General features: G+C 43.4%; 1 protein-coding gene across 4 annotated transcripts in view; it reads right to left on the bottom strand.

Moving 5' to 3' along the window:
- Positions 3980-19249, bottom strand: part of GRHL2 (grainyhead like transcription factor 2) — a 188762-nt gene continuing 173492 nt past the window's right edge. For 3 of the 4 annotated variants that reach the window (NM_001330593.2, NM_024915.4, NM_001440448.1), the window contains exon 16: positions 15454-18591. In NM_001330593.2, coding sequence (NP_001317522.1) covers positions 18477-18591 — 115 coding nt within the window. In that variant the 3' untranslated portion in view covers positions 15454-18476. Of the gene's footprint in view, positions 7155-15453; positions 18592-19249 lie in introns of those variants that run through there. The other variant, NM_001440447.1, reaches the window with a different exon arrangement.

Here is a 19249-nt window from a genome sequence, read left to right as displayed (position 1 = left end):
TATCATTGTTGGACATTTGGGTTGGTTCCAAGTCTTTGCTATTGTGAATAATGCCACAATAAACATACGTGTGCATGTGTCCTTATAGCAGCATGATTTATAGTCCATTGGGTATATACCCAGTAATGGGATGGCTGGGTCAAATGGTATTTCTAGTTCTAGATCCCTGAGGAATCGCCACACTGACTTCCACAATGGTTGAACTAGTTTACAGTCCCACCAACAGTGTAAAAGTGTTCCTATTTCTCCACATCCTCTCCAGCACCTGTTGTTTCCTGACTTCTTAATGATTGCCATTCTAACTGGTGTGAGATGGTATCTCATTGTGGTTTTGATTTGCATTTCTCTGATGGCCAGTGATGATGAGCATTTTTTCATGTGTTTTTTGGCTGCATAAATGTCTTTTTTTTTTTTTGAAAAAAATGCAGTTTTATTCTGTTTACAGAAGTAACATTGTAAGCATATGTATGAATACATAGTTAAAAAGTATAAAGACAAAAATAAGTCTACCATATATTAACAAAAAGAAAAATTATATGGTTAAATTAATAGTGAAAAAAGTAGATCTTAAGTAGAAGTGCAAAATATAAAGATGTACATTTCAAAGTCATAAAAGGGTTAAGTCCATAGCAAGCTATAAAATCACAAAGTTTTCAATACCTAATTAGCACAAAATTTAATTGTATAAAGCAAAAGTTGAAAGAACTAAAGGAGTCATATACAAATCTACAATCATAGGCTATGACCAATTTCAATAACTAATAGAAAAAGCATACAAAAGAAAAGGATACAGAAGTTTAGAATGACATTAACCAAACTGACCTAATTTGGCTTATAGAACATTATATCCAACAATTGCAGAGCACTCTTTACCATGTATATCATATATATATATGAGAAATATGATACATATCTCTTACATATATGATATATATATCATATATCTCTCACATATGTAATATGTGATATGAGAGATATGATATATATCTCTCACACATATATATATATGTGTTGACTTTTTTTTTTTTGAATGTTAGTTGATTTTATTATTTTTGCAGTGATGATCCTAAGGTATAAGACAAGGTCTTTTTTTTTTTTTTTTATACTTTAAGTTTTAGGGTACATGTGCACATTGTGCAGGTTAGTTACATATGTATACATGTGCCATGCTGGTGCGCTGCACCCACTAACTCGTCATCTAGCATTAGGTATATCTCCTAATGCTATCCCTCCCCACTCCCCCCACCCCACCACAGTCCCCAGAGTGTGATATTCCCCTTCCTGTGTCCATGTGATCTCATTGTTCAATTCCCACCTATGAGTGAGAATATGCGGTGTTTGGTTTTTTGTTCTTGCGATAGTTTACTGAGAATGATGATTTCCAATTTCATCCATGTCCCTACAAAGGACATGAACTCATCATTTTTTATGGCTGCATAGTATTCCATGGTGTATATGTGCCACATTTTCTTAATCCAGTCTATCATTGTTGGACATTTGGGTTGGTTCCAACTCTTTGCTATTGTGAATAATGCCGCAATAAACATATGTGTGCATGTGTCTTTATAGCAGCATGATTTATAGTCCTTTGGGTATATACCCAGTAATGGGATGGCTGGGTCAAATGGTATTTCTAGTTCTAGATCCCTGAGGAATCGCCACACTGACTTCCACAATGGTTGAACTAGTTTTCAGTCCCACCAACAGTGTAAAAGTGTTCCTATTTCTCCACATCCTCTCCAGCACCTGTTGTTTCCTGACTTTTTAATGATTGCCATTCTAACTGGTGTGAGATGGTATCTCATTGTGGTTTTGATTTGCATTTCTCTGATGGCCAGTGATGTTGAGCATTTTTTCATGTGTTTTTTGGCTGCATAAATGTCTTCTTTTGAGAAGTGTCTGTTCATGTCCTTCGCCCACTTTTTGATGGGGTTGTTTGTTTTTTTCTTGTAAATTTGTTTGAGTTCATTGTAGATTCTGGATATTAGCCCTTTGTCAGGTGAGTAGGTTGCGAAAATTTTCTCCCATTTTGTGGGTTGCCTGTTCACTCTGATGGTAGTTTCTTTTGCTGTGCAGAAGCTCTTTAGTTTCATTAGATCCCATTTGTCAATTTTGGCTTTTGTTGCCATTGCTTTTGGTGTTTTAGACATGAAGTCCTTGCCCATGCCTATGTCCTGAATGGTAATGCCTAGGTTTTCTTCTAGGGTTTTTATGGTTTTAGGTCTAACGTTTAAGTCTTTAATCCATCTTGAATTGATTTTTGTATAAGGTGTAAGGAAGGGATCCAGTTTCAGCTTTCTACATATGGCTAGCCAGTTTTCCCAGCACCATTTATTAAATAGGGAATCCTTTCCCCATTGCTTGTTTTTCTCAGGTTTGTCAAAGATCAGATGGTTGTAGATATGCAGCGTTATTTCTGAGGGCTCTGTTCTGTTCCATTGATCTATATCTCTGTTTTGGTACCAGTACCATGCTGTTTTGGTTACTGTAGCCTTGTAGTATAGTTTGAAGTCAGGTAGCGTGATGCCTCTGGCTTTGTTCTTTGGGCTTAGGATTGACTTGGCAATGCGGGCTCTTTTTTGGTTCCATATGAACTTTCAAGTAGTTTTTTCCAATTCTGTGAAGAAAGTCATTGGTAGCTTGATGGGCTTGGCATTGAATCTGTAAATTACCTTGGGCAGTATGGCCATTTTCATGATATTGATTCTTCCTACCCATGAGCATGGAATGTTATTCCATTTGTTTGTATCCTCTTTTATTTCCTTGAGCAGTGGTTTGTAGTTCTCCTTGAAGAGGTCCTTCACATCCCTTGTAAGTTGGATTCCTAGGTATTTTATTCTCTTTGAAGCAATTGTGAATGGGAGTTCACTCATGATTTGGCTCTCTCTTTGTCTGTTGTTGGTGTATAAGAATGCTTGTGATTTTTGCACATTGATTTTGTATCCTGAGACTTTGCTGAAGTTGCTTATCAGCTTAAGGAGATTTTGGGCTGAGACAATGGGGTTTTCTAGATATACAAACATGTCATCTGCAAACAGGGACAATTTGACTTCCTCTTTTCCTAATTGAATACCCTTTATTTCCTTCTCTTGCCTAATTGCCCTGGCCAGAACTTCCAACACTATGTTGAATAGGAGTGGTGAGAGAGGGCATCCCTGTCTTGTGCCAGTTTTCAAAGGGAATGCTTCCAGTTTTTGCCCATTCAGTATGATATTGGCTGTGGGTTTGTCATAGATAGCTCTTATTATTTTGAGATACATCCCATCAACACCTAATTTATTGAGAGTTTTTAGCATGAAGGGTTGTTGAATTTTGTCAAAGGCTTTTTATGCATCTATTGAGATAATCATGTGGTTTCTGTCTTTGGCTCTGTTTATATGCTGGATTACATTTATTGATTTGCGTATAGTGAACCAGCCTTGCATCCCAGGGATGAAGCCCACTTGATCATGGTGGATAAGCTTGTTGATGTGCTGCTGGATTCGTTTTGCCAGTATTTTATTGAGGATTTTTGCATCGATGTTCATCAAGGATATTGGTCTAAAATTCTCTTTGTTCGTTGTGTCTCTGCCTGGTTTTGGTATCAGGATGATGCTGGCCTCATAAAATGAGTTAGGGAGGATTCCCTCTTTTTCTATTGATTGGAATAGTTTCAGAAGGAATGGTACCAGTTCCTCCTTGTACCTCTGGTAGAATTCGGCTGTGAATCCATCTGGTCCTGGAATCTTTTTGGTTGGTAAACTATTGATTATTGCCACAATTTCAGATCCTGTTATTGGTCTATTCAGAGATTCAACTTCTCCCTGGTTTAGTCTTGGGAGAGTGTATGTGTTGAGGAATTTATCCATTTCTTCTAGATTTTCTAGTTTATTTGCGTAGAGGTGTTTCTGGTATTCTCTGATGGTAGTTTGTATTTCTGTGGGATCAGTGGTGATATCCCCTTTATCATTTTTTATTGTGTCTATTTGATTCTTCTCTCTTTTCTTCTTTATTAGTCTTGCTAGCGGTCTATCAATTTTGTTGATCCTTATAAAAAACCAGCTCCTGGATTCATTAATTTTTTGAAGGGTTTTTTGTGTCTCTATTTCCTTCAGTTCTGCTCTGATTTTAGTTATTTCTTGCCTTCTGCTAGCTTTTGAATGTGTTTGCTTTTGCTTTTCTAGTTCTTTTAATTGTGATGTTAGGGTGTCAATTTTGGATCTTTCCTGCTTTCTCTTGTGGGCATTTAGTGCTATAAATTTCCCTCTACACACTGCTTTGAATGCGTCCCAGAGATTCTGGTATGTTGTGTCTTTGTTCTCATTGGTTTCAAAGAACATCTTTATTTCTGCCTTCATTTCGTTATGTACCCAGTAGTCATTCAGGAGCAGGTTGTTCAGTTTCCATGTAGTTGAGCGGCTTTGAGTGAGATTCTTAATCCTGAGTTCTAGTTTGATTGCACTGTGGTCTGAGAGATAGTTTATTATAATCTCTGTTCTTTTACATTTGCTGAGGAGAGCTTTACTTCCAAGTATGTGGTCAATTTTGGAATAGGTGTGGTGTGGTGCTGAAAAAAATGTATATTCTGTTGATTTGGGGTGGAGAGTTCTGTAGATGTCTATTAGGTCCACTTGGTGCAGAGCTGAGTTCAATTCCTGGGTATCCTTGTTAACTTTCTGTCTCATTGATCTGTCTAATGTTGACAGTGGGGTGTTAAAGTCTCCCATTATTAATGTGTGGGAGTCTAAGTCTCTTTGTAGGTCACTAAGCACTTGCTTTATGAATCTGGGTGCTCCTGTATTGGGTGCATATATATTTAGGATAGTTAGCTCTTCTTGTTGAATTGATCCCTTTACCATTATGTAATGGCCTTCTTTGTCTCTTTTGATGTTTGTTGGTTTAAAGTCTGTTTTATCAGAGACTAGGATTGCAACCCCTGCCTTTTTTTGTTTTCCATTTGCTTGGTAGATCTTCCTCCATCCTTTTATTTTGAGCCTATGTGTGTCTCTGCACGTGAGATGGGTTTCCTGAATACAGCACACTGATGGGTCTTGACTCTTTATCCAATTTGCCAGTCTGTGTCTTTTAATTGGAGCATTTAGCCCATTTACATTTAAGGTTAATATTGTTATGTGTGAATTTGATCCTGTCATTATGATGATAGCTGGTTATTTTGCTCGTTAGTTGATGCAGTTTCTTCCTAGTCTCGATGGTCTTTACATTTTGGCATGATTTTGCAGCGGCTGGTACCGGTTGTTCCTTTCCATGTTTAGCGCTTCCTTCAGGAGCTCTTTTAGGGCAGGCCTGGTGGTGACAAAATCTCTCAGCATTTGCTTGTCTGTAAAGTATTTTATTTCTCCTTCACTTATGAAGCTTAGTTTGGCTGGACATGAAATTCTGGGTTGAAAATTCTTTTCTTTAAGAATGTTGAATATTGGCCCCCACTCTCTTCTGGCTTGTAGGGTTTCTGCCGAGAGATCAGCTGTTAGTCTGATGGACTTCCCTTTGAGGGTAACCTGACCTTGTTCTCTGGCTGTCCTTAACATTTTTTCCTTCATTTCAACTTTGGTGAATCTGACAATTATGTGTCTTGGAGTTGCTCTTCTCGAGGAGTATCTTTGTGACGTTCTCTGTATTTCCTGAATCTGAACGTTGGCCTGCCTTGCTAGATTGGGGAAGTTCTCCTGGATAATATCCTGCAGAGTGTTTTCCAACTTGGTTCCATTCTCCCCATCACTTTCAGGTACACCAATCAGAAGTAGATTTGGTCTTTTCACATAGTCCCATATTTCTTGGAGGCTTTGCTCATTTCTTTTTATTCTTTTTTCTCTAAACTTCCCTTCTCGCTTCATTTCATTCATTTCATCTTCCATTGCTGATACCCTTTCTTCCAGTTGATTGCATTGGCTCCTGAGGCTTCTGCATTCTTCACGTAGTTCTCGAGCCTTGGTTTTCAGCTCCATCAGCTCCTTTAAGCACTTCTCTGTATTGGTTATTCTAGTTATACATTCTTCTAAATTTTTTTCAAAGTTTTCCACTTCTTTGCCTTTGGTTTGAATGTCCTCCCGTAGCTCAGAGTAATTTGATCGTCTGAAGCCTTCTTCTCTCAGCTCGTCAAAGTCATTCTCCATCCAGCTTTGTTCCGTTGCTGGTGAGGAACTGCGTTCCTTTGGAGGAGGAGAGGCGCTCTGCTTTTTAGAGTTTCCAGTTTTTCTGTTCTGTTTTTTCCCCATCTTTGTGGTTTTATCTACTTTTGGTCTTTGATGATGGTGATGTACAGATGGGTTTTTGGTGTGGATGTCCTTTCTGTTTGTTAGTTTTCCTTCTAACAGACAGGACCCTCAGCTGCAGGTCTGTTGGAATACCCTGCCATGTGAGGTGTCAGTGTGCCCCTGCTGGGGGGTGCCTCCCAGTTAGGCTGCTTGGGGGTCAAGGACCCGCTTGAGGAGGCAGTCTGCCCGTTCTCAGATCTCCAGCTGCGTGCTGGGAGAACCACTGCTCTCTTCAAAGCTGTCAGACAGGGACATTTAAGTCTGCAGAGGTTACTGCTGTCTTTTTGTTTGTCTGTGCCCTGCCCCCAGAGGTGGAGCCTACAGAGGCAGGCAGGCCTCCTTGAGCTGTGGTGGGCTCCACCCAGTTCGAGCTTCCCGGCTGCTTTGTTTACCTAAGCAAGCCTGGGCAATGGCGGGCGCCCCTCCCCAGCCTCGCTGCCACCTTGCAGTTTGATCTCAGACTGCTGTGCTAGCAATCAGCGAGACTCCGTGGGCGTAGGACCCTCCGAGCCAGGTGCGGGATATAATCTCGTGGTGCGCCGTTTTTTAAGCCCGTCGGAAAAGCGCAGTATTCGGGTGGGAGTGACCCGATTTTCCAGGTTCTTCCGTCACCCCTTTCTTTGACTAGGAAAGGGAACTCCCTGACCCCTTGCGCTTCCCAAGTGAGGCAATGCCTCGCCCTGCTTTGGCTCGCACACGGTGCGCGCACCCACTGACCTGCGCCCACTGCCTGGCACTCCCTAGTGAGATGAACCCAGTACCTCAGATGGAAATGCAGAAATCACCCGTCTTCTGCGTCGCTCACGCTGGGAGCTGTAGACTGGAGCTGTTCCTATTCCGGACCTCCTTCTCTTCCCTCGCTTGTCTTCGCCGGAAGTGTGCTGAACACTTTACTGAAATTTTCTGGTTTTTGAGGTGGCCGAAGAAACAGAGAAAAAAATGTTGAGTCTTATGTTTTGTAAGTCAGTAGAATATCAGTCAAATCCACCTAAGACAGATTATTGCATAGGGAAAGATGTTCAGGCTGAGGGTATCACCAATGATCTATTCATTTCAAGCAGGGTTCTCTACAGTGAACGCTGACCACATGTCCAGGACTTAGGTCCTGGGCACTTGCTGTACTGGGTGCTAACATAAAATGTATGGTCCCAGACACCCTTGGGAATGCGCACAATGATTATTCTGAGAGCATCCCAGCCTTATTTCATGACTTTTTTTCTAACACTTTTCCAGGAAATGGCTGACATTGTATAGTTCCTTAAAAGAAATGGTGAAAATACTTCAAAATGCAGGGGTAGTGGGGCCTTCTAACTCTTATTAAATACTCACCTCTGCTACCAATACATAATCCTCATGAAGACAGACAGGTAAAGACACTGTCTCAAGATGTATTTTTTTTTTCCAATACCAGTATTTAATCACTTTATTTGGTTCCTGTTCAGTGTTTAGTGGCAGCCGAACATAGAACCAAGCACTATATACAATCTTGGAGGTAGGCGTGGGGGTGGAGATGGTCGGGGTTATTAGCAAAGAAGTAGGAAACCCAAGCTCACAGCCAATGCCTTGAAAACAATTACAAAGTAGCTTACACCTACAACCCATGGCAGAACAGACATCAAGTTCTTTCCTCAGTGGTCTATGAGGGGTGTTTGCTGCCAGGGATCAAGCAGGTGATGTTCATCTTGGTGCCTTTTCTTTATTTTTATTATTATTATTGTTATTATTTAAGTTTTAGGGTACATGTGCACAATGTGCAAGTTTGTTACATATGTATACATGTGCCATGCTGGTGTGCTGCACCCATTAACTCCTCATTTAGCATTAGGTATATTTCCTAATGCTATCTATCCCCCCCTCACCCCACCCCACAACAGTCCCTGGAGTGTGATATTCCCCTTCCTGTGTCCATGTGTTCTCATTGTTCAATTCCCACCTATGAGTGAGAATATGTGGTGTTTGTTTTTTTGTCCTTGCAACAGTTTGCTGAGAATGATGGTTTCCAGTTTCATCCATGTCCCTACAAAGGACATGAACTCATCATTTTTTATAGCTGCATAGTATTCCATGGTGTATATGTGCCCCATTTTCTTAATCCAGTCTATCGTTGTTGGACATTTGGGTTGGTTCCAAGTCTTTGCTATTGTGAATAGTACCGCAATAAACATATGTGTGCATGTATCTTTATAGCAGCATGATTTATAATCCTTTGGGTATATACCCAGTAATGGGATGGCTGGGTCAAATGGTATTTCTAGTTCTAGATCCCTGAGGAATCGCCACACTGACTTCCACAATGGTTGAACTAGTTTACAGTCCCACAAACAGTGTAAAAGTGTTCCTATTTCTCTACATCCTCTCCAGCACCTGTTGTTTCCTGACTTTTGAATGATCGCCATTCTAACTGGTGTGAGATGGTATCTCATTGTGGTTTTGATGTGCATTTCTCTGATGGCCAGTGATGTTGAGCATTTTTTCATGTGTTTTTTGGCTGCATAAATGTCTTCTTTTGAGAAGTGTCTGTTCATATCCTTCGCCCACTTTTTGATGGGGTTGTTTGTTTTTTTCTTGTAAATTTGTTTGAGTTCATTGTAGATTCTGGATATTAGCCCTTTGTCAGATGAGTAGGTTGCAAAAATTTTCTCCCATTCTGTAGGTTGCCTGTTCACTCTGATGGTAGTTTCTTTTGCTGTGCAGAAGCTCTTTAGTTTCATTAGATCCCATTTGTCAATTTTGGCTTTTGTTGCCATTGCTTTTGGTGTTTTAGACATGAAGTCCTTGCCCATGCCTATGTCCTGAATGGTAATGCCTAGGTTTTCTTCTAGGGTTTTTATGGTTTTAGGTCTAACGTTTAAGTCTTTAATCCATCTTGAATTAATTTTTGTATAAGGTGTAAGGAAGGGATCCAGTTTCAGCTTTCTACATATGGCCAGCCAGTTTTCCCAGCATCATTTGTTAAATAGGGAATCCTTTCTCCATTGCTTGTTTTTCTCAGGTTTGTCAAAGATCAGATGGTTGTAGATATGTGACATTATTTCTGAGGGCTCTGTTCTGTTCCATTGATCTATATCTCTGTTTTGGTACCAGTACCATGCTGTTTTGGTTACTGTAGCCTTGTAGTATAGTTTGAAGTCAGGTAGCGTGATGCCTCCGGCTTTGTTCTTTCGGCTTAGGATTGACTTGGCAATGCGGGCTCTTTTTTGGTTCCATATGAACTTTAAAGTAGTTTTTTCCAATTCTGTGAAGAAAGTCATTGGTAGCTTGTTGGGGATGGCGTTGAGTCTATAAATTACCTTGGGCAGTATGGCCATTTTCACGATATTGATTCTTCCTACCCATGAGCATGGAATGTTCTTCCATTTGTTTGTATCCTCTTTTATTTCCTTGAGCAGTGGTTTGTAGTTCTCCTTGAAGAGGTCCTTCACATCCCTTGTAAGTTGGATTCCTAAGTATTTTATTCTCTCTGAAGCAGTTGTGAATGGGAGTTCACTCATGATTTGGCTCTGTGTTTGTCTGTTATTGGTGTATAAGAATGCTTGTGATTTTTGCACATTGATTTTGTATCCTGAGACTTTGCTGAGGTTGCTCATCAGCTTTAGGAGATTTTGAGCTGAGACGATGGGGTTTTCTAGATATACAATCATGTCATCTGCAAACAGGGGCAATTTGACTTCCTCTTTTCCTAATTGAATAGCCTTCATTTCCTTCTTCTGCCTAATTGCCCTGGCCAGAACTTCCAACACTATGTTGAATAGGAGTGGTGAGAGAGGGCATCCCTGTCTTGTGCCAGTTTTCAAAGGGAATGCTTCCAGTTTTTGCCCATTCAGTATGATATTGGCTGTGGGTTTGTCATAGATAACTCTTATTATTTTGAGATACGTCCCATCAATAGCTAATTGATTGAGAGTTTTTAGCATGAAGGGTTGTTGAATTTTGTCAAAGGCCTTTTCTGCATCTATTGAGATAATCATGTGGTTTTTGTCCTTGGTTCTGTTTATATGCTGGATTACATTTATTGATTTGCATGTGTTGAACCAGCCTTGCATCCCAGGGATGAAGCCCACTTGATCATGGTGGATAAGCTTTTTGATGTGCTGCTGGATTCGTTTTGCCAGTATTTTATTGAGGATTTTTGCATCAATGTTCATCAAGGATATTGGTCTAAAATTCCCTTTTTTGGTTGTGTCTCTGCCAGTCTTTTGTATCAGGATGATGCTGGCCTCATAAAATGAGTTAGGGAGGATTTCCTCTTTTTCTATTGATTGGAATAGTTTCAGAAGAAATGGTACCAGCTCCTCCTTTTACCTCTGGTAGAATTCGGCTATGAATCCATCTGGTCCTGGACTTTTTTTGGTTGGTAAGCTATTGATTACTGCCTCAATTTCAGAGCCTGTTATTGGTCTATTCAGAGATTCAACTTCTTCCTGGTTTAGTCTTGGGAGGGTGTATGTGTCGAGGAATTTATCCATTTCTTCTAGATTTTCTAGTTTATTTGCGTAGAGGTGTTTGTAGTATTCTCTGATGGTAGTTTGTATTTCTGTGGGATCAGTGGTGACATCCCCTTTATCATTTTTTATTACATCTTTTTGATTCTTCTCTCTTTTCTTCTTTATTAGTCTTGCTAGCGGTCTATCGATATTGTTGATCTTTTCAAAAGACCAGCTCCTGGATTCATTAATTTTTTGAAGGGTTTTTTGTGTCTCTATTTCCTTCAGTTCTGTTCTGATTTCAGTTATTTCTTGCCTTCTGCTAGCTTTTGAATGTGTTTGCTCTTGCTTTTCTAATTCTTTTAATTGTGACGTTAGGGTGTCAATTTTGGATCTTTCCTGCTTTCTCTTGTGGGCATTTAGTGCTATAAATTTCCCTCTACACACTGCTTTGAATGTGTCCCAGAGATTCTGGTATGTTGTGTCTTTGTTCTCGTTGGTTTCAAAGAACATCTTTATTTCTGCCTACATTTCGTTATGTACCCAGTAGCCATTCAGGAGCGGGTTGCTCAGTTTCCATGTAGTCAAGCGGTTTTGAATGAGTTTCTTAGTCCTGAGTTCTAGTTTGATTGCACTGTGGTCTGAGAGACAGTTTGTTATAATTTCTGTTCTTTTACATTTGCTGAAGAGTGCTTTACTTCCAATTATGTGGTCAATTTTGGAATAGGTGTGGTGTGGTGCTGAAAAAAATGTATATTCTGTTGATTTGGGGTGGAGAGTTCTGTAGAGGTCTATTAGGTCCTCTTGGTGCAGAGCTGAGTTCAATTCCTGGGTATCCTTGTTAACTTTCTGTCTTGTTGATCTGTCTAATGTTGACAGTGGGGTGTCAAAGTTGTGTGGGAGTCGAAGTCTCTTTGTAGGTCTCTAAGGACTTGCTTTATGAATCTGGGTGCTCCTGTATTGGAGCAAATATATATATCCTAAATATATATATTTAGGATAGTTAGCTCTTCTTGTTGAATTGATCCCTTTACCATTATATAATGGCCTTCTTTGTCTCTTTTGATGTTTGTTGGTTTAAAGTCTGTTTTATCAGAGATTAGGATTGCAACCCCTGCCTTTTTTTGTTTTCCAATTGCTTGGTAGATCTTCCTCCATCCCTTTATTTTGAGCCTATGTGTGTCTCTGCACGTGAGATGGGTTTCCTGAATACAGCACACAGATGGGTCTTGACTCTATCCAATTTGCCAGTCTGTGTCTTTTAATTGGAGCATTTAGCCCATTTACATTTAAGGTTAATATTGTTATGTGTGAATTTGATCCTGTCCTTATGATGTTAGCTGGTTATTTTGCTCATTAGTTGATGCAGTTTCTTCCTAGTCTCGATGGTCTTTACATTTTGGCATGATTTTGCAGCGGCTGGTACCGGTTGTTCCTTTCCATGTTTAGCGCTTCCTTCAGGAGCTCTTTTAGGGCAGGCCTGGTGGTGACAAAATCTCTCAGCATTTGCTTGTCTGTAAAGTATTTTATTTCTCCTTCACTTATGAAGCTTAGTTTGGCTGGACATGAAATTCTGGGTTGAAAATTCTTTTCTTTAAGAATGTTGAATATTGGCCCCCACTCTCTTCTGGCTTGTAGGGTTTCTGCCGAGAGATCAGCTGTTAGTCTGATGGGCTTCCCTTTGAGGGTAACCCGACCTTTCTCTCTGGCTGCCCTTAACATTTTTTCCTTCATTTCAACTTTGGTGAATCTGACAATTATGTGTCTTGGAGTTGCTCTTCTCGAGGAGTATCTTTGTGACGTTCTCTGTATTTCCTGAATCTGAACGTTGGCCTGCCTTGCTAGATTGGGGAAGTTCTCTGGATAATATCCTGCAGAGTGTTTTCCAACTTGGTTCCATTCTCCCCATCACTTTCAGGTACACCAATCAGACATGGATTTGGTCTTTTCACATAGTCCCATATTTCTTGGAGGCTTTGTTTGTTTCTTCTTATTCTTTTTTCTGTAAACTTCCCTTCTCGCTTCATTTCATTCATTTCATCTTCCATTGCTGATACCCTTTCTTCCAGTTGATTGCATTGGCTCCTGAGGCTTCTGCATTCTTCACGTAGTTCTCGAGCCTTGGCTTTCAGCTCCATCAGCTCCTTTAAGGACTTCTCTGCATTGGTTATTCTAGTTATCCATTCGTCTAATTTTTTTTCAAAGTTTTTAACTTCTCTACCATTGGTTTGAATTTCCTCCTGTAGCTCGGAGTAGTTTGATCGTCTGAAGCCTTCTTCTCTCAGCTCGTCAAAGTCATTCCCCATCCAGCTTTGTTCCGCTGCTGATGAGGAGCTGCATTCCTTTGGAGGAGGAGAGGTGCTCTGCTTTTTAGAGTTGCCAGTTTTTCTGCTCTGTTTTTTCCCCATCTTTGTGGCTTTATCTACTTTTGGTCTTTGATGATGGTGACGTACAGAAGGGTTTTTGGTGTGGATGTCCTTTCTGTTTGTTAGTTTTCCTTCTAACAGATAGGACCCTCAGCTGCAGGTCTGTTGGAGTTTGCTAGAAGTCCACTCCAGACCCTGTTTGCCTGGGTATCAGCAGCGGTGGCTGCAGAACAGCGGTGGCTGTAGAACAGTCGATATTGGTGAACTGCAAGTGCTGCTGCGTGATCGTTCCTCTGAAAGTTTTGTCTCAGAGGAGTACCCGGACATATGAGATGTCAGTCTGCCCCTACTAGGGGATGCCTCCCAGTTAGGCTGCTTGGGGGTCAAGGACCCGCTTGAGGAGGCAGTCTGCCCGTTCTCAGATCTCCAGCTGCGTGCTGGGAGAACCACTGCTCTCTTCAAAGCTGTCAGACAGGGACATTTAAGTCTGCAGAGGTTACTGCTGTCTTTTTGTTTGTCTGTGCCCTGCCCCCAGAGGTGGAGCCTACAGAGGCAGGCAGGCAGGTCTCCTTGAGCTGTGGTAGGCTCCACCCAGTTCGAGCTTCCCAGCTGCTTTGTTTGCCTAATCAAGCCTGGGCAATTGCAGGTGCCCCTCCCCCAGCTTGCAGGTGCCCCTCCCCCAGCATCGCTGCCGCCTTGCAGTTTGATCTCAGACTGCTGTGCTAGCAATCAGCGAGACTCCATGCGCGTAGGACCCTCCGAGCCACGTGCGGGATATAATCTCCTGGTGTGCCATTTTTTAAGCCCATTGGAAAAGCACAGTATTAGGGTGGGATTTTCCAGGTGCCGTCTGTCACCCCTTTCTTTGACTAGGAAAGGGAACTCCCTGACCCCTTGCGCTTCCCGAGTGAGGCAATGCCTCGCCCTGCTTCAGCTTGCGCAGGGTGCACTGCACCTACTGTCCTGCACCCACTGTCTGGCACTCCCTAGTGAGATGAACCCGGTACCTCAGATGGAAATACAGAAATCAACCGTCGTCTGCATTGCTCATGCTGGGAGCTGTAGACCGGAGCTGTTCCTATGTAGCCATCTTGGCTCCACCCCCCTTGGTGCCTTTTCACCATCCTCTTCCTCTTTCTTGCTGCTTCTGGCTGATCAGAGGCCCCACTATAGAATTCCTGAGTCCCCAAAGTTTCCAGATCACTATCCTTTTGCACCCCACCTCCTATGAGGGCAGACTGTGTCTAACTTGCCTCTCTCTCCAGCACACGGCAAAACATCAGGTCCAGAGTAATCGAACTGAATCAGTGTAGAGAGTGGGAGACAAGAGCTGGTACTGAACTTCACGACACTGACAACCGTCATCGCCTATCCAACCAGCGTCTCATTCCAGGGAACTGGTTGGCACACATGGCGAGCACCTAACAGCAGGACCGTGGCTGCCACAGGCCAAGGGGGAGGCTGCCTCAGGAGATGTGGAGACCAGCTCGTATCCTCAGCTGGACCTACTTGGACAGCTGGGGAGAGCACCAAGACCTCCTAATGAGGCTGTGGAACACAGTCATGACAACAAGCCTTGGAGCCCATTTCTAATCCCAGGATCTCTCCAGAAGACTCTGCAATGAGCGCTTCCTCCATGCCCTCACTTCCCAGTCCCTGGTCTAGGCACAGAGGCTGCTGGAGATGCTGCTGGGGTTGAAGTTGGTCAAGGGAGGCTTCCTGAAGGCAAATGATGTTTAGCCAAGATTTGAAAGCTGTGGACATGTATAGACAGAGAGATGGGAAGATGTAGAAGAATGTAGAAATGCTACTTGTTTGGAACAGAGCTGCTCTTGGGAGATAATCATGGACAGCAGTTAAAGGAGTGTGGGTGGCTCCACAGAGTGGTACCCACCAAGGAAACCCCAGCAGATACTGGGATAGTGCATCCAGGTGTTCACATTCGAGCCAACAGATCTTAGGGAGCCTGTGGGTTCCAGGGCAAGAGATTGTGAGAAAACTGGAGTTAGAGCCACATGGTTTCAGCCTCCATGCAGAGGTTGGTGCAGGTGAACTAAGGAAGCAGAAAGCTTTTGTGGGAATTCAAGGGCGGGCGAGTGGGCCTGGGAGTGAGGATGGGCAGAAGCAAGTGAACAGAACCAACTCCCTGCCCAAAGGGACTGGCCAAGAATAACCACCCTGGGGAGCCTGCCGTGGTCACACACAAGCCCTGGAAGTTCTTCAGCCCTCTTCACATTTAACACTGGGGTGAAGCACAGCAAAGTAACTTTACCAGGAAATCCCTGCTCTGTTGAAGCCCAGGACCTGAAGGCAGGGTGGGCAGCTAGAATTTTCCCACGTCACATGGAAACCTCTCTCCAACAAGGTAAAAATCCCCAACACTGGCTGCACAGAAAGCACCAGACACTGTTGTTTTACTCTTATGTTATGAATATTTATTTTTTCTCCTTAAAAATGTACAAAAAATAAAATAACTGTATTTATAGTTTATAGATTCCCCCTCTCCCATTTACAAAACTATTAAGTTACATTTACCTTTTTTTTTTTAAAACATGAGAGCAAATTGTACATATATCAATCTCCCTTGCTTGTCTTTAAGAAAGGGCCGTTCATAGCATTTGGCACAAACCCTCTATTTCTGTTGCATTTGCATGATTTTAAATAAGAAGGAAAATAAACATTTGATTTATTTCATGCTTCCTAAGTTTCTGGGCAGGGACATGCCTTACTCTTTTAGAAACCAATTCCAAGATGACATCTGACTGCATTTTTCTGTTGGTCCGAACTTCTAAACAAACACTCATAAAGTAAGTTTAAACAATTTGGAGATGTATGAGGAAAAAGTCTTGTTCTGTTCAGTTCAGACTTTGTTAAAAAAAAAAAAGAAAAAAATGCTCATTTCACATGTCCATGATCTTCCATGGATTTTTTTTAAGCTTATTTGAGTTTGATTAAGGGACAAAAAAGAAGAGGCGGCAAGTTTTCCTATCTCTTTGGAGTGTTTCGCTCAGGAAATTTTGCTCATCAAAGTTCAGCTAACATACACAGCGGACACATCAAAGGCAAACTGGGGTGCTCCGAGGATGCAGAGGGGAATGGATCGGAAGGGATGTGGCACTTGGCACCACCCTCTGGTGGCACTGGCCTCATATCCCTTGTGGCAATTGTCACCACCATGATTGCTCAAGGACTTAGGAAACATGCACAGCATCTTCAATTCATCTTCTGCCTTAGGGCAGGACTGGCAAACAAACAGTTTCATAAAGAGGCTGGAGAGAGAGGGGTAGGTTGCCTGTGTCAGGCTGCCAAATCTTTTGTCTTTTTCCTACTCTGGAGTCCTATGCCCCAGTCCGAGTATTTGCCGTTGTTATGTCTGCCAATCATGTTTGAAACTATTCCTAACCCTAGGAGCATGGGAAGTGCATAGTACAACATGTATTTCCAACACTGAATTTGTCCATCTCAGAACAGAGCCCCATTAGTACCCTGGAGGGTCCCCAAGCTGCTGGTCCGGGGCGTGGCAGTCAGAGTGGAGGAGGAGGGGACAGACTGGAGCACAGCTGGATCCACGATGCAAACCTTTGGCCCCACAGAAGGGTTAACATGCCCAGAGGACACACAGCAAGGTGCCCCGTCACTGCTGCTCGGAGATCTTCTTGGCCACAGCACCTGCCCTCTGTCCCATTCAATTCAATTCCTCCGCAACCTCAAGGAGAAACAGCTGAGCTAGAAGCAGACCCTCCATCCTGCTCTGCATCTCAGGGACAGATGAGGTGGGAGCGCAGGAAGCCCTTAGAGAGCGGGCCTCCAGGTAAGAGTCAAAGTGCTTTACAAACAAATCTGGGCCTTTGTAGAGAACCTTTGGGTGCAGGATGTGTCTAGCTACCAAAAAGCTAGTGCTTCAGCCCACAAGGGCGAACGCAAACCCCTAAACCTGTCCCCTCAAAGAGAACAGTGGCCCATGATGGTTCATCATTTTGCGATTGTTTAGGGGAGTGTTTTTCTCTTCCAGCTCCCAGGGCATGTAGCAGGAGACCACAGCTTCTCTCTCCCAGTTTCCCTCCTGAGGCTGGTTTCACAGGAGCCAGGTATCTTGGCACATTCTTTCTCACTCACTTCCTTAAAACGCAGCATCCAGGAGTGAGGCAAACAATACCCCCTTTCCATCTGGTGGCCCAGGAGGAAGCCCCAGCCTGCCGACTCAGAGCTGAGCTGTTCACAGCTCTCACATGGCAGCAGGCCTTTTAAAGGGCCACTTGAGATGAAGGGCGTGTTTGTAAACTGGGAGGCACAGTACAGTGTCCAGGATTCTCCTGATAGCCAAGGAGCTCTGCAGCAGACCCAGCCACAGGGCCCTGATGGCAAACCCCCTGCAGAGGCTCTCCAGAAAGCTCAGGCCATGCCCGCAGCCAAAGCTGGAGAAGGAGCTGGGGTCTCAGACAGAATGACCTTTCCCACGAGACAGCGCAAAGGGAAAGTCAAGCAAAACACATCATTGTGAGATAAACGTGGTGGCCTCGAAGGAGAGTCATGCCCATGGAGAAGGAGAGGGGGCTTCCTCTGGGGACAGGGAACGAGCCCCCAGGTATGCCCATTGCAGAGTCCATCTTGGCATCAGCTGCAGTCACCTTAACATCCCAAAGGCCCTCTACCTAGCCCTGCAAGTCTCTTGAACAGGCACAGAGGCAAAAACCCCCATTAAAACGGTCTCCAGGTCTGTGTCTCCTCTAGGCCAGTGGCAGTAAACATGCCCACATACCACAGGTAAAATATATTATTACAATATTATAAACACTATGTACAATGCAGACAGGCAGACTTTCTGTGTTACTAATTACACGGTGACTGAATGTCTTCCTGTACAAGGCCTGGTGGCCACTTGCTGGGAACCCTGGAGGTATTTAGCAAGACAGCCTTCCCCAGAGCAACCTAAAGGTGTCTGACCAGAAAGTGGGCATCCACCTCTTGCCCCACCTATAACTACTGCACCCAGACGTAGCTCATTTTGTCCAGCCACTCGGGAGATAGATATGGAGGGGTGAGAGAGAAGGGATGGGAATTTTTTAGGCTGTTCGGGATGAGTGTTTCTCTTGAAGGGGGAACGCTGGACGGTCTCATCTGGAGCTAGCAGTGACCTGCAGAGTCCTGGCGGGCCTGGACCTGGGCTCCAGGAAAAGGTGGGCAATAAATAGGAATCCAACAGGCCTAAGGCACCTTCCTGAGGGGCTCAGGCTTCAGCTCCGTGGTAGGTGCCAGTGGATGGGCCAAGCACACCGACAGTGGGGCCTGTCCCTTGCCCCACTCCCCAGCACGGTCTTGTAACAGCAGTTGTGAGATGGGGGAGATGGGTCTCCAGGTTCTGGGGCTGGGGCTTCTGTCTCTCTCAGGGAGGAACGCACTGAGAGCTCCAGCCAAAGCGGATGCCAAACCCAGGGCTAGATTTCCATGAGCGTGACCTTGAAGCCCTCCACCATGCTCTCCATGTTGAGGATGAAGGTGTCCTCGTTCGAGTAGTGCTCGATGATGTTGTCATCCATGTTCACCAAGATGCTGCCATGGAGGGGGGAGGGGTGTGAAAAACAAAGACGCCGTGAACAATGTGCCCAGGGCAAGGGGAGCTCCAGGCTGGGGGTTCTCGTAGCCATTCTTTTGTGGTGGAGGCTGGGAGGAGTGGAGGAGAGAGGACACAAGGCAGGGAAAGACCCTCATTCTGTTTTCTTTGCCCAAAAACTAGTTTGAGGAAAGCAAAGCCTCAATTTCTCAGAACTAACATTCAACCCAAACCGCTTGCATTATAGATGAGTAAACTGAGGCCCAGGGAAGTTAGGAAGCCCAGAATCACAGTTACTGATTACCAGGGCCAGAACCTAAATCATTAGGCTCTCTCTCTAACTCTTTTCAGTAAACCATGTTGCCCTTGAAAATGCATTTTTAAAAATGCATTGCCTCTGCTCTTAGGAGGAAGAGGAAAACAAGCAAGAATTGCAGCTACCCTTTTTTGAGCATGTAATATGACCTTGTGTTTAGTTCTCACAGCAACTGTGAAGGTAGGTGTCATTGCCATTTTGCAAATGAGAAAACTGACCTCAACAAGGTTAAATTGTTTCCCCAAGTTCATTCAGTTAGCACATGGCTGAGCTTGATTTTGAAATTAGCTTTACCTCATTCTGACACTTGTACTTTACCACCTGTGACCTACTCCTGTGGC

The sequence above is a fragment of the Homo sapiens genome, chromosome 8 (assembly GCF_000001405.40).
Source record: "Homo sapiens chromosome 8, GRCh38.p14 Primary Assembly".
NCBI lineage: Eukaryota > Metazoa > Chordata > Mammalia > Primates > Hominidae > Homo > Homo sapiens.
The sequence above is the reverse complement of the archived record's forward strand: the minus strand, read 5'-3'. Positions and strand labels throughout refer to the sequence as shown.